The sequence below is a fragment of the Homo sapiens genome, chromosome 6 (assembly GCF_000001405.40).
Source record: "Homo sapiens chromosome 6, GRCh38.p14 Primary Assembly".
Lineage (NCBI taxonomy): Eukaryota > Metazoa > Chordata > Mammalia > Primates > Hominidae > Homo > Homo sapiens.
The window spans coordinates 97,247,030-97,269,695 of NC_000006.12; the positions used below are offsets into that span (position 1 = coordinate 97,247,030).

The following is a 22,666-nucleotide window of genomic DNA, read 5'->3' on the forward strand; positions in this document are numbered from 1 at the left end:
TTTTTTTTTTTATGCTGAGTAATCATCCCTATTTTCCACTTTAATCACTAGAGCTTTTTCCTTCATTTTGTGAATAACAAACCTGAGACCATCTACTTTAGTAAACAAAGTAACTAAAAATTTTATACAGAAAATAAATTGACAACCTCGACTATCTAGAATGATTTCCATAAGGAAGAAAGCTAAAAAGGACTTTCACAAAGGCTAGGTAGGCACTTAAAACAATTCCACATTTCCAAAAGGAAAGCCTGGAAGACATTCTCACAGGATACTCAGTTCACTTAATATTCAGTTCTTAAAGTTCTGGATATGTGGATACTGGACAAAACCAAAAGCAAAGAAAGCATTTTAAAGAATAAGCAAGTAATAACCAGCTTCTAATGTGGAAGGGAAAAAAACGGTATAAAAAGTAATCATGGCCAGGAGCGATGGCTCACACCTATAATCCCAGCACTTTGGGAGGCCAAGGCAGGTGGATCACGAGTTGGAAACCAGCCTGGCTAACATGGTGAAACCCCGTCTCTACTAAAAATACAAAAATTAGCCGGGCATGGTGGCGGGTGCCTGTATCCCAGCTACCCGGGAGGCTGAGGCAGGAGAATGGTGTGAACCCAGGAGGTGTAGGTTGTAGTGAGCCAAGATCATGCCACTGCGCTCTAGCCTGGGTGACAGAACAAGACTTCGTCTCAGAAAAAAAAAAGAAAAGTAATCATAAGACCTCAAAAAGCAAAACCTGAGGCCTTAAAAAGTAAAAGAAAGACCTTCATCATACCCTTCTTATCCCTGTTATAAAGAATATGCTGTTCAGAGGCATGAACTCAAATGATCAATAAAGTGTTAAAGCATAATGAATTCTCATGATTTTAAATGGCTAGGCAATATTCATGTAAAATGCTAAATACAGTAAATCAGTAAATCAATATTTTCTTAATAAAGAGCACAGTGAGTATGGTAGTCAGCCTCTAAGATGTCCCCCAGTGACCTTTGTCTCCTGGAATTTATGCTTTCTACAATTCCCTCTCACACTGTACGAGGGTTGGTCACTAACAGACTACCAATACCAATATAAGTGATAGTATGTCACCTCCAAGAATAGGTTACAAGACACTGAAGCTTCCATCTTTATGACACTCTGATCTGTTAACTTGATCTGGAAACAGCTATATTGTGAACAGCACATATGATGAGAAACTGAAGCACTGTGCCAACTAAAGTAAAGCTGAAAGCAAATTCTGCAGTTCCAGTTAAATCTTCAGATACTGAAGCCCTGGCTGATAGCTTCACTGCAACCTCATGAGAGACCCTGAGCTAGAACCACCCAGCTAAGCTTCTCCTGAATGCCTGATTCTCAGAAATTGAGAGTGTGAGATAATAAATGTTTGTTTTAAGCTGATACTTTTGTGACACAGCAATAGATTACTAATACAATGATTTAGTTATTTTTAGCAAAATTGTTGACTTTTTGACATACACAAATAAAATGAATGCAAAAAAGCATTTATTGGGAGAAAATGTGGAGTAAAGAATTTGGCCTTGCCCAAAGAAAAGATCTGGCCTGCTGGGCTCACTCCTGTAATCCCAGCACTTTGGGAGGCCGAAGCAGGCAGATCACTTGAGGTCAGGAGTTCAAGACCAGCCTGGCCAACATGGTGAAACCCCGTCTCTACTAAAATACAAAAATTAGGAGGGTGTGGTGGTGCGTGCCTGTAATCTCAGCTACTAGGGAGGTTGAGGCAGGAGAATCGCTTGAACCCAGGAGGCAGAGGTTGCAGTGAGCAGAGATCGTGCCATTGCACTCCAGTCTGGGCAACAGAGGGAGACTTTGTCTCAAAAAAAAAAAAAAGATCTGACCTTTGCCCATAGCTTCCTGGAGGTCATCTCTGGGCCCTGGGAATGTTATGCCTGATAGTAGCATCTTTGACTAGGGTCCTATGGTCATACTGGATAATCTAACTATGTGATAGAGAGTGAAGGCTGGACACACCCACATAGTCTTAGCTTAGGGCCTGGTCACACCCAAAGAGCAACAATAGTCTCAGGCTGGGGGCTTTGAGTCAGTTGACTTGGAAACTGAAATCAGCCACGTGAGCAATTCAGTAGTCCACCCCTACATAATGGAACTCCCATAAAAATTATGAACATTGAGGCTTGAGTGGGCACCCGTTTTGCAACACTCCCTGCATACTGTCACACACTGATGCCAGGAGAAGAACGTGGCCTGACTCCATTAAGAGAAAACAATAGAAGTTCCACATTTGGTACTTCTGGACTCTGGCCTATGCCCTTCTTCCCTTGGCTGATGTTAATTTATATCCTTCCCCTTTAAGAAAACAAAATAATAGCTTTCAGTGAGTTCTGTGAGTCCTAACAAATTATCAAACCTAAGGTCGTTTTGGGAACCCTGAGCTTGCAACTGGTGTCAGAAGTAAAGACAGTTTTAGGGACTGTCCCCTGAAACTTGGTAGTTGGCCCTAAAAGTCTCTCAAAAAAAGCTCATTTTCTTCTATCAATACTGTATGTCTACTGTGTTACGTTCTTGACATAGTGCTTCCTCAAAAAAATTTCCCCATTTCACAGAAAACATAATTAAGTCTCAGAAAGGTCATGTATGTACAAATCAAAGAATGAATTCAAATCCAAGGTTATCTGGCACCAAAGCCTGTATTTCTTCTATTATAACACGTACCAATAACCAATTTTTTTTTTTTTTTTTTTTTACCTAACATGCCTTCCCTCAGATTTCAGCAATTCATTTTTGTATCATTCTTTATTAAGAAAATGTCACCTCCAGTGCCAAGTGAGAAGGGCCATGACAGGGTTGATATAATTTAAGTTTTAGCTTTATAACTGGATAGTGTTGAGTATATTTCAATCATTCTGTGTTATCAAAGCATTTGAATCACAAGAATTACAGAAAAACTGTAATTCTCACCCAAAGAATTTCAACTATATAAATCAGTTTTGTGGCTATAATCTAAAACAAAAATAAACTGTAATTCAAAGAAAAGAATGACAACTATGTCATACCCAAATCAAGGGTAAGAGAATATGTATCAAAGAGATATAGATTTTTCTTCCACAATAAAATTTCACTTTGGGCAGCTACAGCATTTTTTTTTCTACATACCAAGTTAAATCTGCTGATAGAAAGCAGGTAGGATGTCATCAATTTGAGGCTACATTTTATATTTCTTATTTCAGCATTAAAACTAAGATACCCATTTAAACGTTAGTATAGGTAGGATCTCTACCAGATATGTAGAACAGATTCTCCACCCTCCACTTCCAGCAGACTAGGTAGTCTGGTGCAACTCTCATTTTAAGGTTACATTTCACACTTTTATCTGGTTACTATTTCAGACGATTCAAAGACGAGCATCAGCTAGCCTGACTAATTGCATTATGTTCTGGGTACAGAAAACACTGTTAAAACTGACCCCTTGCAATGCCCAGAAGTAATTTTCCTCTTTAAACTGTATTTGGTTTTAAAATAGATGACTAGAATCGTGAGAGAGTAACCCACTCTCATCTTGTCTGAGAGAAAAGCATTAAACAGAAACGTAAGAAAATCTAATGACTCTAATATAAAAAGTGAGATACCAGATTTTTCTTACAGGCCTACACTAAGAAATTGGCTAGCTTTGTGAGTTAAATCCATTATAGCTTTGTGATTTAAATCCACTACAGGTTTACATTTTAAACCTATTTAAAATGTAAAGATTTCACATTAACCTTCAGGGCAAAGCAGTTCACGTTTAAAAACTGAAACATCGCCACACTGCCACAAGATTATAGATATTTCTCTGGTGAAGAACACATGACTAGCCATTATTACTTCATATCATCTCTCACTCCAGATTACTTGTTAGTAGAATAAAGCATGCTTACTGCACAACCATTTTCTCTATTGTAGTTGCTTATGTTAATATATCATAAGGAGAAAAAAAAATTTTCAAAATTCTAAACAGATTCCAGACCCAAACTAACATCTTATATAATCTCTCAGAAACAATACGTCAATATGCCTTTATGTTCATGGATTAGAATGACTATCTGATTTGTCAATTAAGCTGAAACACTTTGAGGATAAAAGCAAAAATTAACCAGTTAGGATGAATAGATAATAAGGTATAAAGTGGGACTGTCTGTACCTGGCAAAATGGAACACATGGTTACCCTACCAAAGACCTATTCGTAAGAGGCAATCCTTAGGAGAAATCTAATATCAAGTTTATCTAAGAGATAAAATAGGGTGATATTTAACCACTGTGTATCTCAATTTCTTTACCTGTAAAATGAATATATTACCCTCTCACCTACTTTAAAATATTTCACTGAGATAATACACAGTCACTGTGAAATACTAAATATGTTGCAAATGCAGCACATATTTTACCCCTAATGAAAACTATTATTAACTAGAGAGCTTTTCTTTAAAAACCTTTAGGAAATCCAGAAATAAACTCTTTGAGGACTCATATATAAAGGCAAAGTTTATTTTACATGTGCATATACACATATATATTACACATCCTCATCATTTTTATCATATCCTTTTTCTATTAATTATCACAGCCTTTTCTTTTAAAACCTTCTACATAAAATATGTGATTTTTTAAAATCGTGGCAAAAGAAAATCAGGAACTGCTGACAAATATTAAAAGACGCAAGTTAAGCTATTTTAAACACAGACAATTCATTTACTATCTTGATTCAGAGCTAATAAAAGCAATAATCTCCTCTGGAGTTCTCTGTATGAAATGGAAGGGTAGGGCTAGGTACGGTGGCTCACGCCTGTAATCCCAGCACTTTGAGAGGCCGAAGCGGGCGGATCACGAGGTCAGAAGATCAAGACTATCCTGTCTAACACAGTGAAACCCCGTTTCTACGAAAAATACAAAAAATTAGCCAGGCGTGGTGGCCGGCACCTGTAGTCCCAACTACTCAGGAGGCAGAGGCAGGAGAATGGCATGAACCCGGGAGGCGGAGCTTGCAGTAAGCCAAGACTGCGCCACTGCACTCCAGCCTGGGCGACAGAGCGAGACTCCATCTCAAAAAAAAAAAAAAAGAAATAGAAGAGTGACTTCAGCACTGCAACCATAGGTGGTTATATCACTGCAATTCCATATTACAATAGCAATGGCAACAATATATCCTAATGTGACTAGATTGCCTACCACACTGAGAATATCTGGCGGGGTCAATATCAACTAATATTAAAATATACTACGCACTCAAAAAAGTGTTAATACAGTTCCAACAAGTTTTTAATAACCTAAAAGCATGTTCCTTGAAGCAAGAAGTAGTACAATCTGGCAGGGTGCGGTGGCTCACACCTGTAATCCCAGCACTTTTGGGAGGCCGAGGCAGGCAGATTAACTGAGGTAGGCAGATTAACCGAGGTCAGGAGTTCGAAACCAGCCTGGCCAACATGGTGAAACCCCATCTCTACTAAAAATACAAAAATTAGCTGGGCGTGGTGGTGTGTACCTGTAATCCCAGCTACTCGGGAGGCTGAGGCAGGAGAATCACCTGAACCCGTGAGGCAGAGTTTGCAGTAAGCCGAGATCACGCCATTATACTCCAGCCTGGGTGACAGAGTGAGACTCCATCTCAAAAAAAAAAAAAAAAAGTAGTACAATCTATTTCATGTGTATTCTCTGATAGGCACCTAATATTATGCAAATACACAACAGAAACTCAGAAACACTTAACTAATTGCCATACTTACTTACATTGATTAAAATGAGAAATATATACTTGGAGGAACTAAAGTTGGAGAGGAAGAAAAATGCAAATGCTTATATTACGACCTTAGAATTACAGGTAAATTTTCTTAGTTCCTTTAATATAGTTCTAATATTCTAATAATTAAAAGATGTGAAATCACATTAACTCCACAAAAACACTTAATAAAAGCACTACTATAGTAATAATGGCAATTGCTAAAATTTATTATTTACTCTGTATTAGCATGGTAAATAATCATGGATACAAACAAAAAACATACAATTCTTTTCTGTGAGAAGTTCATTGACTTTTCTCAATAAATTGGTAGAATACTCAAATACACTGATACTGGGCCGTGTGTGAACTTCTCAGAGCAATTTCTGACTATTTCACTATATTCTGGGATCTCCTACAGGACCTTTTATTATTACGGGGATTATTTAGAGGACTTTTTGAGACCCTTTCCATTTCTATGATGCTATATTAATACTAACTAACCCTCAGATTCCATGGATGACTTCTCAAAGCTGGGTCTATCCAATATTCCAAAGAGGAAAATCTATCAAGCCTATTAAAGAATATGTTTCATAAAGCAATGGCTCCCATACCTCGTAGAGGATGAGAACCAAGGAACTTTTTAAAAATCAGGATTTCCAAACTCCAAATCAGGACCTCCAGAGTTAAGATCTAGGTATCTGGATTTTTTTTTTTTTTTTTTTTGGATGGTGTCTCACTCTGTTGCCCAGTCTGGAGTGCAGTGGTGTGATCTCGGCTCACCGCAAACTCCGTCTCCGGGTTCAAGCAATTCTCCTGTCTCCGTCTCCCAAGTACCTGGGACTACAGGTGTGCGTCACCATGCCCTGCTAATTTCTGTATTTTTAGTAAAGACAGGGTTTCACCACATTGGCCAGGCTGATGTCAAACTCCTGATCTCAAGTGATCCACCCGCCTTGGCCTTCCAAAGTGCTGGGATTATAGGCATGAGCCACTGCAGCTGGACTAGATACCTGGATTTTTTAAAACTCACAAGTCTAATGATCAGCCAGGTTTGGTAACCACTGCCATAAAAAATGGCAATTTTGAAAATATAGACAAGTTGGCTTCATGATTCTAGATGCTTATTTTATGGAGCTGATAGGCTGATACAATAATACAATACTATTAATTTCTGAATATGGTAGAAATTGTATAAAAATAGGGCTTCAAAGTAAACATCTGTTAGCTGATTTTATTCATAGGGTTTTTAAGTAACACTGTAAAAAATGTTTCTAATGAGAAATTAATATACTAGTTAAAATCTCTTTGTATTTGAAGCAAACTTCATGGTTGTTTAATAAGTTATCTTAGCAAAAAGCTTCACTAAAGAAGTGCTATTCTGAAGTACTTTTATTAAATTATTCACAAAAATAAGTAATTCATTCCTCGAGAAATTTCTTTGCCAATCATAATAGATTTTAAAACTAGAAGGAATCTTTGTGACAATCCAATCCCATGATTTTTTGTTAACGGAAGACAAAGCTAGAAAGGTTTAAGTAATTTGCTCAGGGTCACACAATTGTTCAGTAGCAGGGCCAGGACTACATACCAAATCTTCTACAAGTAATTTTTTTTAATTAAACAATTAAAACATAAACTTTATAATTTTTCAAGATGTTTACAGAAACATTATACATAAATAATTTATCTCTGTGATTGTAGTCTGACTTTTCTTGTTTCTGCTCACTTATTTTCTAATTTGTCCAAATAATTACATATTAATTGACAATATAAGAAAGTTTTTAAAAAATGAAGTCTTACCATTTCATCTGGTACTCCATGGCGATCAAACTTGTAAAATGATGCTACATGAGTAATAATCCACCAACTAAAACCTAATGGATCCCTGGACTGGATTACAGGCATAGAGGATCTTCTTCGGTCACTTGATTTTTCAAGCAGTGTTTTAAGTAGTTTATTCAACCAGTTCCAAAATGACTATAGAAACAGAAGTAATTTGATTCCATTAAGACAGTTTCAATAACCTTTGATTTCGTGGTTTTTCTCTATTTTTATAATGAAGCATATATACAAAAGACAAAACACATATATAAAACTGAAATAATAAAAATGCCCAGGTTAAGAATCAGAACATAAATAGTACTTTAGAAGTACCTTACAGGTCACCACATCTTCCTCCTCCATCCAGTAGTTAACAATTTTGCTGACTTTCATGATAAATCATTTCCTTGCTTTTTTGTTTCGCCACACAGGTATACCAGCCTATATTATATATTGTGTGGCTTCATCTGTATTTTGTTTTTTTTAAATGCATGTCTGTATTCTCAAGCGGCTTGTTTCTAATTCTTTTGTAACTTGCTTCTTTGGTCAATGCTGCGTTTCTGATGAACTCATCTATATTAATGAAAACTGCCATAGCTTATTGCAATATTCCAGTATATGACTATATGATAAAACATTTATTCAATCTACTATTGCAGAACATTTAGTGAGTTTTAGGTTTTTCTAGGTATTTCATGTAAATGTTCAAGTTATTAGACATAAAGTTGTCGACAGTATCTCTTACCTTTCTAATGTATACAGAAACTGAAGTCATGTTCCTTTTTATATTTCTAGTATTGAGTATTTTTGTAACCATCTTAAGTAACATTGGCCAATTTTAGGTATCAATTTGAGGAACCAACTTTTGCTCATTTTATCCTTTTCATTGTTTTAAATTCATAATTTTTTGTTATTTTTATAATTTCATTCCTTTTACCTTCTTTGGATTTACTATGAAGGGCTTATTGCTAACATCTTGAGATAAATTATTAGTTCATTTGCAATCTTTCTTTTTTCCTGTATTTGCATATACAGTTACAAATTTCCCTCTAATTATAACTTTTAGCTGTAGTCCCAAAACTTTAGTTTACAGAATGTTATTTACTTTGGAATATTTTCTAATTTCCATCATCTCTTCTTTAACTTATGAGTTATTTAGAAATATATTTCATTATTTCTATGCATGTGTATTTCTCCTTGAAAATCTGTCCATTTTAAATTGCTACGGTTAACACCATGTTATTAGCCACATGCAAATTTAAATTTATCCCTGATAAAGTAAACCTTTCATCACTATAAAACAACTTAATGCTTTTTTGTTTTAAAGTCAAAATTTTTCCAATATTTGTTTAATACGTCACTTTCTTGTATCTTTTCTATCAATTTTGAACCTTGATATATTCTGTTTTAGAATATATCCTGACAATATGTCTTTTAAATGGAGCTTTTAGTAGTACCATTGCAGGTAATATAATGACTAATATATTTAGTTTTAAATCTACAATCTTATTCCATATTTCTATTTGTATACCTACTGTATCCATCAACACCTCCTTCTCTGGGGTTGAATATTAATTTTTTCCCCCTCTACCTGCTTGGAAGTTAAAAAGTCTACTTTTCTTCTTTCAGTGATGATCTTAGAAATAAACATTACACATCCAAATGTCTTGGTAAATTAACATAGACCTTTCTCTTAGAGCAAACAAGAACCTTAAAAGAGTAGCTCATTTATGTCCTACTCACTTTAGATGGTACTATTACTATGTGCTTTAGCCGTTTTTTAATTCCAATAAATTATATTACTGATTTATACAAAACATGTACCACTTTCTTTGCTCTTTATTCCTTCTACATGTCAGAATTCCCATTTTGGCATCACCATTCTTCTGCCTAAATATCCTTCAGGATTCTCTTCAATTTTGCTTCAATGAAAATAGCTTTATTTTACCTCACTTTTTAAAGATATTAATAGGTAAAGAATTTTAGGTTGACAAATATTGTTTTGATACAATAAGGATATCATTCCCACTGGCCTCCATTGTTGTTGAAAAGTCAGCTGCCCAATTGTCACTCTTTTAGTGGTACTATATTGGCCAGCTGTGGCAGCTCACACCTGTAATCATAACACTTTGGGAGGGCAAGGCAGAAGGACTGCTTGAGGTCAGGTGTTCGAGACCAACCTGGGCAGACCAGTGAGACCCTGTCTCTACAAAAAATAAATTAGCCAGGTGTGGTGGCATGTGCTTGTACTCCCAGCTACTAAGGAGTCTGAGACAGGAGGATCACTTGAGTTCAACAGGTTGAGGCTGCAGTGAGCTGTGACCACACTACTGCACTCCAGACTGGGTGACACAGTGAGACCTTCTCTCTTAAAAAAATAAATAAAATAAAGTAACACATTTTTCTGTAAGATGCTTTAAATTTCTTCTCTTTGTCTTTGGTCTTCTGTGATTCCACTGTGATGTTATCTGGGTGTGTTTTTTCTTTTTATTTACCCTATGTGGGTGCACTGAATTTATCTGATTAGCTTTCACTAACATTTGAAAATTTTCAAGTCATTTTTTCTTCAAATATTTTTGTTGTTCCACTTCCTTTTTAACTATAGTTAGAAGTATATCAGACATCCTCTCTATTCTTAATGTCTCTTAACCACTCTTTCATGTTTTCCATCTTTTGTTATATTATGCATAACAGATCTTATTCAAAATTAGCCTACTATACCATTATGCAGCAATCATAAGGTGCATTTAGCTATCCCATCATTTAATGTTTCTTCAGCTTACTTTAATCTGTAAGCGTTCCTCAGACTATACCACTCATAACCTTGATATTTTTAGAGTATACCAGTTTTTCAGGTTTGTCTGACATTACACATTTTATTCTTTTTTTGTGGGGGGAGAGGGTCTCACTCTGTTGCCCAGGCTACAGGGCACTGGTGCAAAATTCTGGGCTCAAGTGATCATCCCACCTCAGCCTCCCAAGTAGCTGGGACCACAGGCATGCCACCACCACACATAGGTAATCTTGTTTATTTTTTGTAAAGATTACGTCTCTATGTTGCCCAGTCTTGAACTCCTGGGCTCAAGCAATCCTCTCACCTAGGACTCCCAAAGTGCTGGGGTTACAGGCATGAGCCACCACACCTGGTCTATTTTTGTTCTTTCAAGGCATCATATTGATGGTACATGATATCAATCTGTCCTATTACTAGTTAACTTTGATTGCTTGGTTAAGGTAGTACCTGCCACATTTTCTGTACTATAAAGTTATTATTTTCCCTTTTATAATTGATAAATATTATGTAAAGATCTTAACAAACTATGTAAATGTGCTGTTTTTCATCAGTTTTGTCCACTACTTTAAGCATCCATTGAGGATTCTTGCCTGAAACAATTACCATGGAGGTTGTCAAATGGTGATTTTCTAATTCCATCATGACTCTACATCTATTAGGAAGAGCTTCCCTTTTCCCAATTTGTTTATATCAGTAGGGACTCACAGATTCCTAGTGAACAGATTACAATCCCTTACTATTTTGTAGCTCAACAGCAATGGAGGCCAGTGGGATGATATCCTTATTGTATCAAAACAGTATTTGTCAACCTAAAATTCTTTACCTATTAATATCTTTAAAAAGTGAGGTAAAATAAAGCTATTTTAGCCTATAGACCTTAAGGCTGACTCTCATGTCCTTCTGACATGTACTCATCATTTTTTGAGCACTTCCTTAGTTTCTGGTACAAGATGTTTCAGGCTCATGTTTACTTTCCATGCTTCATCCTGTAATCAGCCATTTGTTCAAAGACTCGTTTCCTTTCACTACAGAATGGTTATTTTGAAACTAAGATATAGCTGCAATGTGTATATTGTTACTCAGTATCATTGCTTGTAAGCCCACCCAGTGAAAAAGGTAGGAAATGGAGGTATGCACACACACACATATACATTTATATATAGTCCTATATATTAAAAAGAAGTATTGCATACTATAACAAATTCTAATCCAACATAATGTGCTTCATGCTGGCTTTCCTTCTTTCCATATGTGTAACTCAATTCCCCAACACAGACAAACCTGACTCCAATTACCCACAATGTATTTATTAATTTGTCCAGTCCAAGAATACAAATATAATAGATTTAAAATTGCTAATCCTCACATAACAATGTAAAAAACAAATCTCCTAAGTATTTACAATTCTTTATGATTGTCTTTAGCCTTATAGTATAGTGTCAAAATAGTACATTCTTAAGTTACCTGGGTTAACATTGCCAATCCCCTCAAAGAGTGTTATTCATTTAAAATACATTTAAGTTCAGTTGTTTCTGTTATATTCCATTGAGTGCACCTTTCATACAGATTGATTTAATTTTAGGGCATGTGGAACATTAACACGATTCTAAAGTCAGAACTACCCAAATAATTACATCAAACCCTTCCACTCCATTTTCACCCACCCATCTTTATTTTTACCCACCAATCTCAATAGTTTGTCTTTCCAGTATTTATTTGTGCACAATTGAACACATATATATACACACACACACATTGCCTTTTTCCTAATTTCTTATACAAAAGGTAACATCATCCTATAGTTTTGAACTTTATTTCTATCATTTAACAATACATTCTGCAACTCACTCCGTATCAGTTCAGATATCTTCCTCATTCTATTGTACAACTACAAATAGAATGGTTAATTTTATGTGTCAACTTGAACAGGCCACAGGATGCCAAGATATTTGGTTAAATATTATTCTGAGTGTGTCTATAAAGGTTTTCTCGTTGAGAGTTACATTTTAATTGGTAGGCTGAGTAAAGAGATGGCCCTCTCTAATATGGGTGGGTGCCATCCAATCAATTAGTGGCCTGAATACAACAAAAAGTCCTCCGAGGGTAGAGAAGACTCCCTGTGCTTCATACTGAAACACTGTTCTTTTCCTGCCTTCAGACTTGGACTCAGACTGGAAATTACACCATTGGCTTTCCTGGTTTGCAGACCTTTGGACTGAGACTGGAAACTATACCATCAGCTCCTCTGGGTCTTCAGCTTGCCAACCTCAGATTCGGGACTTCTTGGCCTCCATAACTCTGCGAGCCAATTCATTATAATAAATCTTATATATATATATATATCTATATATCCTATTGGCTGTTTCTCTGGAGAACACACACTAATACAGAATAATACTTCAGAGTACAGATATACCATGGTTTGTTCAACTACTCTTTTATATATAAGAATTTAGTTTCTACTATACTATTATAAAAACAATACTGCAATAAATAAACGTATGCATATGCATTTTAATTTTGGAGGGTACACATTTAGAGTAAATTCCTGGAAGTGGGATTGCTAGGGTCAAAGTTACAAAATCCTTGGCTCACACTTTTTCATTGAGTCATTTTAAATGCTGCATTGAGGCCTTGTTTTAAGTTGACTTTGCAAGTCTAGTGCCAATAAAATTATTTTGCTCTTATAAGTTGTTTGGTCTTTGTGCCTAGAGGACTTGGAGATTTTTTCCTTTATGTTTAAAGTGAAACAGTTTTAGTAAGACTTGTCTTCGGGTGGATTGCTTGGGGTTAATCTTTCAAATTATCCAGCAGACCCTTTCAATACGTAGATTTAGATCTTTTATTTCTGGGAAGTTTCCTTTGATTATAGTTTTTAATATTAGCTATATCACACTGTTTTCTTCTCTAGGGATTGCATTTATATGTACAGTTATTTCCTCCTTGCCTACCTTCCATCTCAACCATTTTCTCACTCTCTTCATATTTATCTCATTTTTATTCCCTTAGTTGTTTTCAACCTTTCTTCTATGCCCCTTATTAAATTTTCATTTAAGTCTATTCTCCCTCAGTCATGTTGTAATTTAGTCAATACGGATATAATTTTCCTCTTCCTATTTCTTTCCTGCATTGAATGTATTCTTTCCATCCATCCCCGGTTTTCTGTCCATTTGTTTTTAACATTTGAGTATCTTATTCAAGGTGTTTTTCTATACTCCCAGATGTAGTCTGAACAGACAAACTAATTCAATCTACAGTGTTGTCAGTTTCTTCTGTTTTATGGTTGTTTCTGGGGGAGAGGGTACCATCAACTAAAGTGTTATCAAATCTGTTTTCTTCTAGTAAGTTTATAATGGTCTAGTTTCATTCCATTCATTTTGTAGATTAGGATTAGCTTAAAAGATTCTTAATTCAGGGTTACCTTCTTTTGACAATGCACCAAAGTCCCATTTCTTTACTGAATTTCCTTTCCTTTTCTTTCTTCTTTTTTTTTGGTGGTGGGAGAGGGTATGAGTCCTTTGATTTATTCTTTTTTTGGTGGTGGTGTTTTAAGACCCTAAATTTTCTGCTTTCTCTTCTGGTGCCCTTCACCACCCAATCACCAATGGGTACCATGATTCATTTTTGCCTTCTACAGAAACTCCATGTCATGTGGACACTTTTATGTTTCTTTCTTATCAGTTCTCCGATCTACAAGAAAACTTTTTCAGTATCTTCACATTCTGGCAATGATTTTAAAGCAGTTTTATAACCACTGTTAGTTCTCTTCTCAGAGTAGTTTTTCTCAGACTGCCCTGCCTTGCTAGAAAGGCTCGTGGTAAGAGCTTTAGAGGTTTTCTGTTTTTAAAACTGACAGTACTAAGCACTCCCATTTGCAGTTATATAATACGTATGTTTTTGTATACAGCTGACGTTTGAACAACACGGGTTTGAAATGCATGGGTGCGCTTATACATGGATTTTCTTCCATCTCTACCACCCCGAAGACAGCAAGACCAACCCCTCCTCTTCTTCCTCCTCCTCCTTAGCCTACTCAACATGAAGATGAGGATGAAGACCTTCATGGTGACCTACTTCCACTTAATGAGAAGTAAATATATATTCTCTTATGGTTTTCTTAACATTTATTTTCTCTAGTTTATCATGTATATAATACATACAACATACAAAATACATGTTAATTGTTTCTTTATGTTATGGGTAAGGATTGCAGTCAATAGTAGGCCACCAATGGTTTTTTGGGGAAGTCAAAAGTTACATGCAGTTTTCTGACTGCATGTTGGGGGGACGGTCAGCATCCCTAACTCCCACATTGTTCAAGAGTCAACAGTAGATATATTTGATTTTGCTGTTCTATATTTTGTTGGAAGGTTATGTAGGGAGATGTGGGTTTAGGCATCCATCCATTTTTCTTGGCTACCCAGAATTCAATGCCTTGAAATTTTTTTTTCTTTTTTCAAGAGAGGGTCTTGCTTTGTCATCCAGGCTGGAGTGCAGTGGCACAATCTTGGCTCACTGTATCCTCGATATCCTGGGCTCAATGGTTTGAAATTTTTAATAAAATCTAGGTAACATGAACTCAGTCTGTAAACCCACATAAGGGCTAGAATACAACAAAAAACACACAGACGCAATTTTAAACTTCTGAAAAGCACCACAGTTAAAGACAGTCAGTTTTCCTTACAAATCTAGTTGAGTTTCTACTTCATCTTTCTGAGTGCCCAGTTTTATGGATAACTGGTGTAGTTGTAGGCTACCAACTTGATAAACTCTGAACTTTATCTTCTATTCTTGTACCCCTTAATGCCTGAAAGCCAAAGTTCAAATTTACACAATTCAGCAACTGCCTCTAGGTTATGAAAATAAATTTTTTTACTCAATAAACAAAAATATATTAAGTTTACATTTATTTGATGCTAAAATAATAATTCAAAATAAATACAGTACTTGCAAACCTACAAAAATAGAGTTGTTATTAAAAAAAGATAGCAGGCCAGGCATGGTGGCTCATGCCTGTAATCCTAGCACTTTGGGAGGCCAAGGCAGGCAGATCACTTGAGGTCAGGAGTTCAAGACCAGCCTGGGCAACATGGTAAAACCCCATCTCTACCAAAAATACAAAAATTAGCTGGCCACGGTGGTGCATGCCTGTAACCCTAGCTACTCAGGATGCTAAGGCACGAGAATTGCTTGAACTGGGAGGCGGAGATTGCAGTGAGCCGAGATCATGCCAAGGTGGAGGCTGCAGTGAGCACTCTAGCCTGAGCAACAGAGCAAGACTGCCTCAAAAAAAAAAAAAAAAAAAGATAGCAGCACCCAAACCCCAAATTACAGAAAACTGGAAAATTTTAAAATCCATGAAAAATCAAAAGTACCCTTTCATATAACATAAACCATTTTTAATACCGTTTTACAACAGACTGTTTTACTTACTTCTGCCTAGGATACTTCTCTTTTTCAATAACCTACAGCACTTGAAATAAAATAAAGCCCTGTTCTGAAGACATGACTGAAAATGAAGTGAAAGTTTCTCATCTTCCCTTTTCTGCTTCTCTTCCTCCCTCCTTGAAATTGCTATAAAATTGAGTAATAGAAACCTGTTTTATTTCTCCACAAATCTTCTAAATCTGCCGTATTTCCTGACTAAAATGTTTTCTAGGTTACTAATGGGTAGTAAATACCTTAGTCTGAAAGATTTCTGATAGAACAACAACAACAAAACTTGAAAAAAAGTAAGGGTTGAACCTTGTACTGCTCTTAGATTTTTCATATTACTAACTTGGGGCTAAAAATAATTAGGGTTAAAAATAAAGTAGATATTCAGTACTCAGTTATTGCTCTATTGGTGGTTATTATTGCCTTATTATAAAAAAGGAAGTTAAGATTTTTCTCAGTTAAAACCATTGGATTAAATCAATATAAAGGTTAGTAACAATAACCAACACATCAATTTTCCAACTTACTTCCGAGACAAACCATTTACTTCTGTGGTCTAGAAGATGAATAAGTAGAACCCATAATTCTTTAATGCATAAACATGGACACTGGTCACTCATTAATGATTCAGAAGACCTAACCTATAGAAAATAACCAAAATGTGTTATTTATAAGACAGCAGCAGAATTTTAAATGCCATATATCTTTCAAATACTTTTAAAAGAATGATTTAGATGACTAAGAATTTATTCTCAATTAGACAAAATTATTTATTGAAAATGTGCAATTTCATTTAACTTTTAAGACAAATTTCCATTTTAAAACAAAAAGCACAGATTAATTTGATTTCAACTTAAAAAAAAATTTTAATCATCTAGTGCCGTGGTCAGCAAACTTTCTCTTTTTTTTTTCTTTTTGTGAGATGGAGTCTCGCTCTGTCACCCAGGCTGGAGTGCAGTGGAGCGATCTTGGCTCACTGCAAGCTCCGCCTCCCAGGTTCACGCCATTCTCCCGCCTCAGCCTCCCAAGTAGCTGGGACTACAGGCGCCCACCACCACGCCCGGCTAATTTTTTGTACTTTTAGTAGAGACGGGGTTTCACCGTGTTAGCCAGGATGGTCTCGATCTCCTGACCTCGTGATACACCCGCCTCGGCCTCCCAAAGTGCTAGGATTACAGGCATGAGCCACCTCGCCCAGCCAGCAAACTTTTTCTATAAAGGGCCAGATAGGACATATTTAAGAGTCTGTTGTCAATACAGTCTCTGTCACAACTACTGAACTCTGCCATTTCAGTACAACAGCCGCAGATACCTGGTAAGAGAAATGGACCTGGTTATATCCCAGTAAAACTATATTTACAAAAATAGGTAATGGGCTAGATTACACCTCAGGGCTAGTTTGCTTATTTTGCCCTGAGTCATCTACAACAAAAGACTTCTAATGAAAAGATTAGAAAATAAATTTTGATTCACTGTAAACAGAGTAAAAATTTTGCAAGACAGAATGAATACAGTTATTAGGGATTTATAAAGATTCAGTAATTTCTAAATTATCTACCTTTTTTTAATAAAAAAATCCTCAGCAGCCCTAGATAATGCACAGAATGTACACTATATTTGCAAATATAGCTAGGCTTCTTAAATTAATAATGTATGCAATATTTTACGTAAGTTATGTACACTTTTCTAACCTAATACAAAGTTAAAAAAAAAGTATTAGGATGTTACTAGAAATCCTAGCCACAGCAATTATGCAAAAGAAAGAAAAGGCATCTAAACAGAAAGAAATGTTAAAATTGTTGCTGTTTGTAGATAACATGATCTTTTATATATAGAAACCTCTAAAGACATCACCAAAAATTATTTGAATAAATAAATGCAGTAAAGTTGCAGGATACAAAAATCAACATACAAAATACCATAGCATTTCTATACAATAACAACAAACTATCCAAAAAAGAAATCAATAAAACAATCCCATATATAGTATATACCTACAAAAATAAAAATACTTAGGGATAAATTTAACCAAAGAGTAAAAGGCCTATACACTGAAAAATAAAAAACACTGATGAAAGAAACTGAATACAACACAAGTAAGTAGAAAAAATATCTTGTGGTCATGGATTGGAAGAAATATTGTTAAAATGTCCATACTACCCAAAGTGACCTACAGATTCAATGAAATCCCTACCAAAATATTTAATGACACTTTTTTACAGAAATAGAAAAAACAATCCTAAAATTGGTAGGAAATCACAAAAGGTCCTGAATAGACCCAGCAATCTTTAGCAAAAAAGAACAAAGCTCGAGGCATGACACTACCTGACTTCAAAATATACTACAAAGCTACAGTAATCAAAACAGTGTGCTGCTAGCACACAAACAGACACAGAACAAAACAGAACAATTGATTTTTGACAATGATGAAAAGAGCATGACACGGGGAAAGGACAGCTTCTTCAATAAACAGGTTGGGACAACTGGATATCCACATACAGAATGAATTTAGGCCCTTGTTTCACACCATACAGAAAAATCAACTCAAAATAAATTAAAGACTTAAATGTAAGACCTGAAACTATAAAACTAGAAGAAAACATAGGGGAAAAGCTATATGACAATGGTCTGGTAAATGATTTCTTGGATATGACCCCAAAAAGCACAAGCCATGAAAATGAAAACTGACAAATGGGATTATATCAAAATAAAAAGGAAATATCTGCAAAGCAAAGGAAAAAAAATCAACGGAATGAAGGGAAAATCTCGAGAATGGAAGAAAATATTTGCAAACCATACATCTGATAAGGGGTTAGTATTTTAAATATATAAGGAACGCAAACAACTCAATAGCAAGAAAACAACCCAATTACAAAATTGGCAAAAAATATAAACAGACGTTTTCTTTTTTCTTTTTTTTTTTTTGAGGCAGAGTCTCTCTCTGTTGCCAGGCTGGAGTGCAGTGGCACAATATCGCAATATTGGCACACTGCAACCTGCGCCTCCCAGGTTCAAGCAATTCTCCCGCCTCAGCCTCCCAAGTAGCTGGGACTACAGGCACGCACCACCATGCCCGGCTAATTTTTTGTATTTTTAGTAGAGACGGGTTTCACCATGTTAACCAGGATGGTCTCGATCTCCTGACCTTGTGATCTGCCTGCCTCGGCCTCCCAAAGTGCTGGGATTACAGGCGTGAGCCACCGCGCCTAGCTGACATTTCTTAAAAGAAGACATACAAATGGGCAAGCAGTACATGAAAAATGCTCAACGTCACTACTCATTATGGAAATGCAAATTAAAACTTGATAAGATATCACCTCAAACCTGTTATAATGGCTATTACCAAAAAGACAAAAGATAATAAGCGCCAGAGAGGAAGTGGTGACAAGAAAACCCTTGCACAGTTTGGTGAGAATGTAAATTGGTACAGCCATCATGTAATACAGTATGCAAATTCCTCACAAAATTAAATATAGAACTACCACATGATCCAGCAATCCTACTAGGTATATTTGCAAAGAAAATGAAATTAGTATGTTTAAGAGATATCTGCATTCCCATGTTCACTGCAGCATTATTTATAAGAGCCAAGACATGGAATCAACCAAATTGTCCATCAACAGATGAATGCATAAAGAAAATGTGGTTTATATACACAATGGAATACAGTCATGTGTCACTTAACAGCAGGACATGTTCTGAGAAGCACGTCTTTAGGCTAACATGATTTATTGTACTTAAACTTTTTCAGCCTACTACTGCACACCTAGGCTATGTGGTATAGCTACCTTGTATATGTGGTCTGTCACTGACTAAAACTTTGTTACACAGTGTATGACCCTACTATTCAGCCTTGAGAAGATGGAAATGCTGTCATTTGCAACAATATGGATGAACCTGGAGGACATTAAATTAAGTGAAATAAGCCAGGCACAGAAAGACAAGTAACACATAATCTCACTTATATGTAGAATCTAAAAAAGCTGAACTCATAGAAGCAGAGTAAGATGATCCTTACCAAGGGCTGTGAGGAGGATTAGGAGGGAGGCGGGGTAGATGTTGATCAAAGCATATAAAATTTCAGTTAGATAAGGGAATAAGCTCAACATGATGACTACAGTTAAAAACAATGTACTATATTGTATTCTTGAAAATCACTAGAAGCATAGATTTTAAGTGTTCTCACACAAAAAATAAGAATGTGAGATAATACATATGCTAATTAGCTATATTTAGCCATTCTACACTGTATACACATATCAAAACATGATGTATATGATAAATATGTATAATTTTGTCAATTAACAAAAATAAATAAATATTTAAAAGTTATTCTATCATATCTGGTTAATCCACTAATACACATACACACTAAATTGTAAAAATATTGATAATGCATAAAAAAATCTAAATTTTGAAAAATTATAAAACTCCTTTTCCCTCAATCTTGATTTCCCAAAAACAGTCTTTACGCTTGTAATCTAAAATAACAGATAATACTCTACAAACATTTATACTACTTAAAAATAAACATGTTCTGTAGCACCTTTAAATCACTGTCTCCATTAAACACTCTATGATAAACATAATTTAATAAAAACACATAATTTTACCCAGATTCGAGACCTTTTATGAAAACAAGCAAGAAAATCCTCTCTTAAAATGTGTAAAGTAACTTTAAGTAAGCATTTATTTTATTATTACACAACAGTAATACAATACATTATTAAAGAGCTGGCCTCTACTATTTGGATAGAAATTAGGCTTCCAGTGATTTCGGTAAACATCATTTTTATTTATTTATTTTTGTCAAAATAGAAAAGGCTATTTTTCTTAAAAAAAAAAAAAAAAAGAAAAAAAGAAAAGCTCTAAAATACCAATTCCAGCCTCTTTTAGATGTTTAAATAAAAATTGTTTTCCCTTTCAGCTCCCAGATAATAGCAACTAAATATAAAATTAGAACATATAAAGCATTTTAGTTTAAATTCTTACAGATTAAACGACATGCATTAAGGACTGAATACTGTCTTTAAGTCTCAAAAATACAAACTCTTAAAGCATTACCTTGTCGTACCTGTTGAGTGACAGGCTTATTAAATCACAAAGGAGAGTTTCACAATGTTCTTCAAATAGGCTGATGTTGGTTAAATTGTCACTTGCCAGATTCATAAACTGATGACCATATACAACTTGTTCTGAAAATGTAATAAAAATAGTTTTAAAATACAGATTTTACTAAGTCAGAAAGGAAAAAGTGACTGTACATCTTTAAATTATAACAAAACTAAAACATACAGTTTTTAATTTTTTTTTGCAAATAAAATATGAATTTGAGGACAACCTTCTCATATGAGCACTGATAAACATTATCTTCAAAAGTTTCTTTTTTTTTTTTTTTTGAGGCGAGGTCTCTGTCACCCAGGCTGGAGTGCAGTGACGCGATCTCAGATAACTGCAAGCTCCACCTCCCAGGTTCAGGCCATCCTCCCACCTCAGCCTCCCAAGTAGCTGGGACTATAGGCACCCGCCACCTCACCTGGCTAATTCTGTTTTTGTATTTTTAGTAGAGACGGGGTTTCACCGTGTTAGCCAGGATGGTCTCAATCTCCTGACCTTGTGATCTGCCCACCTTGGCCTCCCAAAGTGCTGGGATTACAGGCGTGAGCCACCACGTCCAGCCCAAAAGTTTCTAATTCTTCCAAGTAACATCTAATAAACTTCTCTTTTCCTAATAAGTCTATCTTTAAGAAGCATTAATGCAACACAACTTAAAAAAAAAAGAGAGAGAACAACATAAAATCTTCATCCACATTTCTAACCAACAAAGCCTTTAAAACATTATTTTTTTAACAAATACTGATAAACTGATCCCATGCAATTGTTTTATGGCATAAAATAGGGCAAACCAAGGTAATAGATAACCAAAATTTTTACTTATCAGAATAAGTCCACTTGAGTATTACTCTAAGAATATATTAATGTGAAATACAGAGTCCACATGAGAGGAAATTATATACTGGTGTACATCTTCATATGTTTCTGTGTATGAATATATGTAAGTATATACCTATATAGACATATATATGTAAGTATATACATATATAGACATATATATGTATGTATTTATTAACAGAAAAGCAGGTGTAGGAGTAACAGACATCTTTACAACCTAAGTGACAGGTTGCCAATGGAACTTAAAAATGCCAAAGAGCAACATCAAGAAATAAATGGGCAACATATCCACAAGGATAAAAGATATTTATCCATAATATGTATAAACTCCTACTAAAAAAAGAGGAAAATTTGCAAAATACAATGAGTAATTAATAAAGCAAATATAGACAATAAAACGTAAAGATGTTCAACTTCACTAGTAACCAAGAAATTGCAGATAAAAAAAAGCCATTTCATTTTTCACATGTTAGCTGGCAAAAAATAAAATATAATTGATAATATCAACTACTGGCAAGAGTATGAAGTAAAGGCACACTACAGTTAATGCCTATATATCAGCAGGACTTACTATTCAGCAAAACAGCAGCATATACATATTAAAACTACGATGTGCCACTCTACTTCTAAGAATATTTTACAGAATAACTTGTACGCAGATTAAAGATATATTTCTATACACAAGGGTGTTCAGTGAAAAATGATTTGTAAAATCAAAAAATGAAAGTAACTTCAATGTTTAAAAATAGGCATGGCTAAATATAGTAGAACCATAACATGCAGCCTTTAAATGGATAAAGTAGAACTATAGGTACTAACATAAACAGATCGCTAAAACACTGATAAATGAAAGATCACACTGAACAGTATGATGATCATATCTGTGGTTAAAAACAAAAACAAAATTTTACCTATGAGTTTCTATATATGTATACT

At 35.2% G+C, this 22,666-nt stretch overlaps 1 protein-coding gene across 22 annotated transcripts in view; it reads right to left on the reverse strand.

Annotated features, from left to right (window-relative positions):
• The window catches only part of MMS22L (MMS22 like, DNA repair protein), a 141,875-nt gene that overhangs the window by 104,869 nt on the left and 14,340 nt on the right, over positions 1 to 22,666 (reverse strand). For 20 of the 22 annotated variants that reach the window (XR_942376.2, XM_047418577.1, NM_001350599.2 and 17 more), the window contains 3 exons: positions 20,843 to 20,973; positions 16,306 to 16,419; positions 7,528 to 7,704 (listed from right to left, as the gene is read on the reverse strand). Coding sequence is in view for 21 of the 22 variants with exons in the window: in XM_047418577.1 (XP_047274533.1) it covers positions 7,528 to 7,704; positions 16,306 to 16,419; positions 20,843 to 20,973 (422 nt within the window). In the remaining variant the exon portion in view is untranslated. Of the gene's footprint in view, positions 1 to 7,527; positions 7,705 to 7,881; positions 8,137 to 16,305; positions 16,420 to 20,842; positions 20,974 to 22,666 lie in introns of those variants that run through there. The other 2 variants (NM_001350600.2, XM_011535678.4) reach the window with 2 other exon arrangements.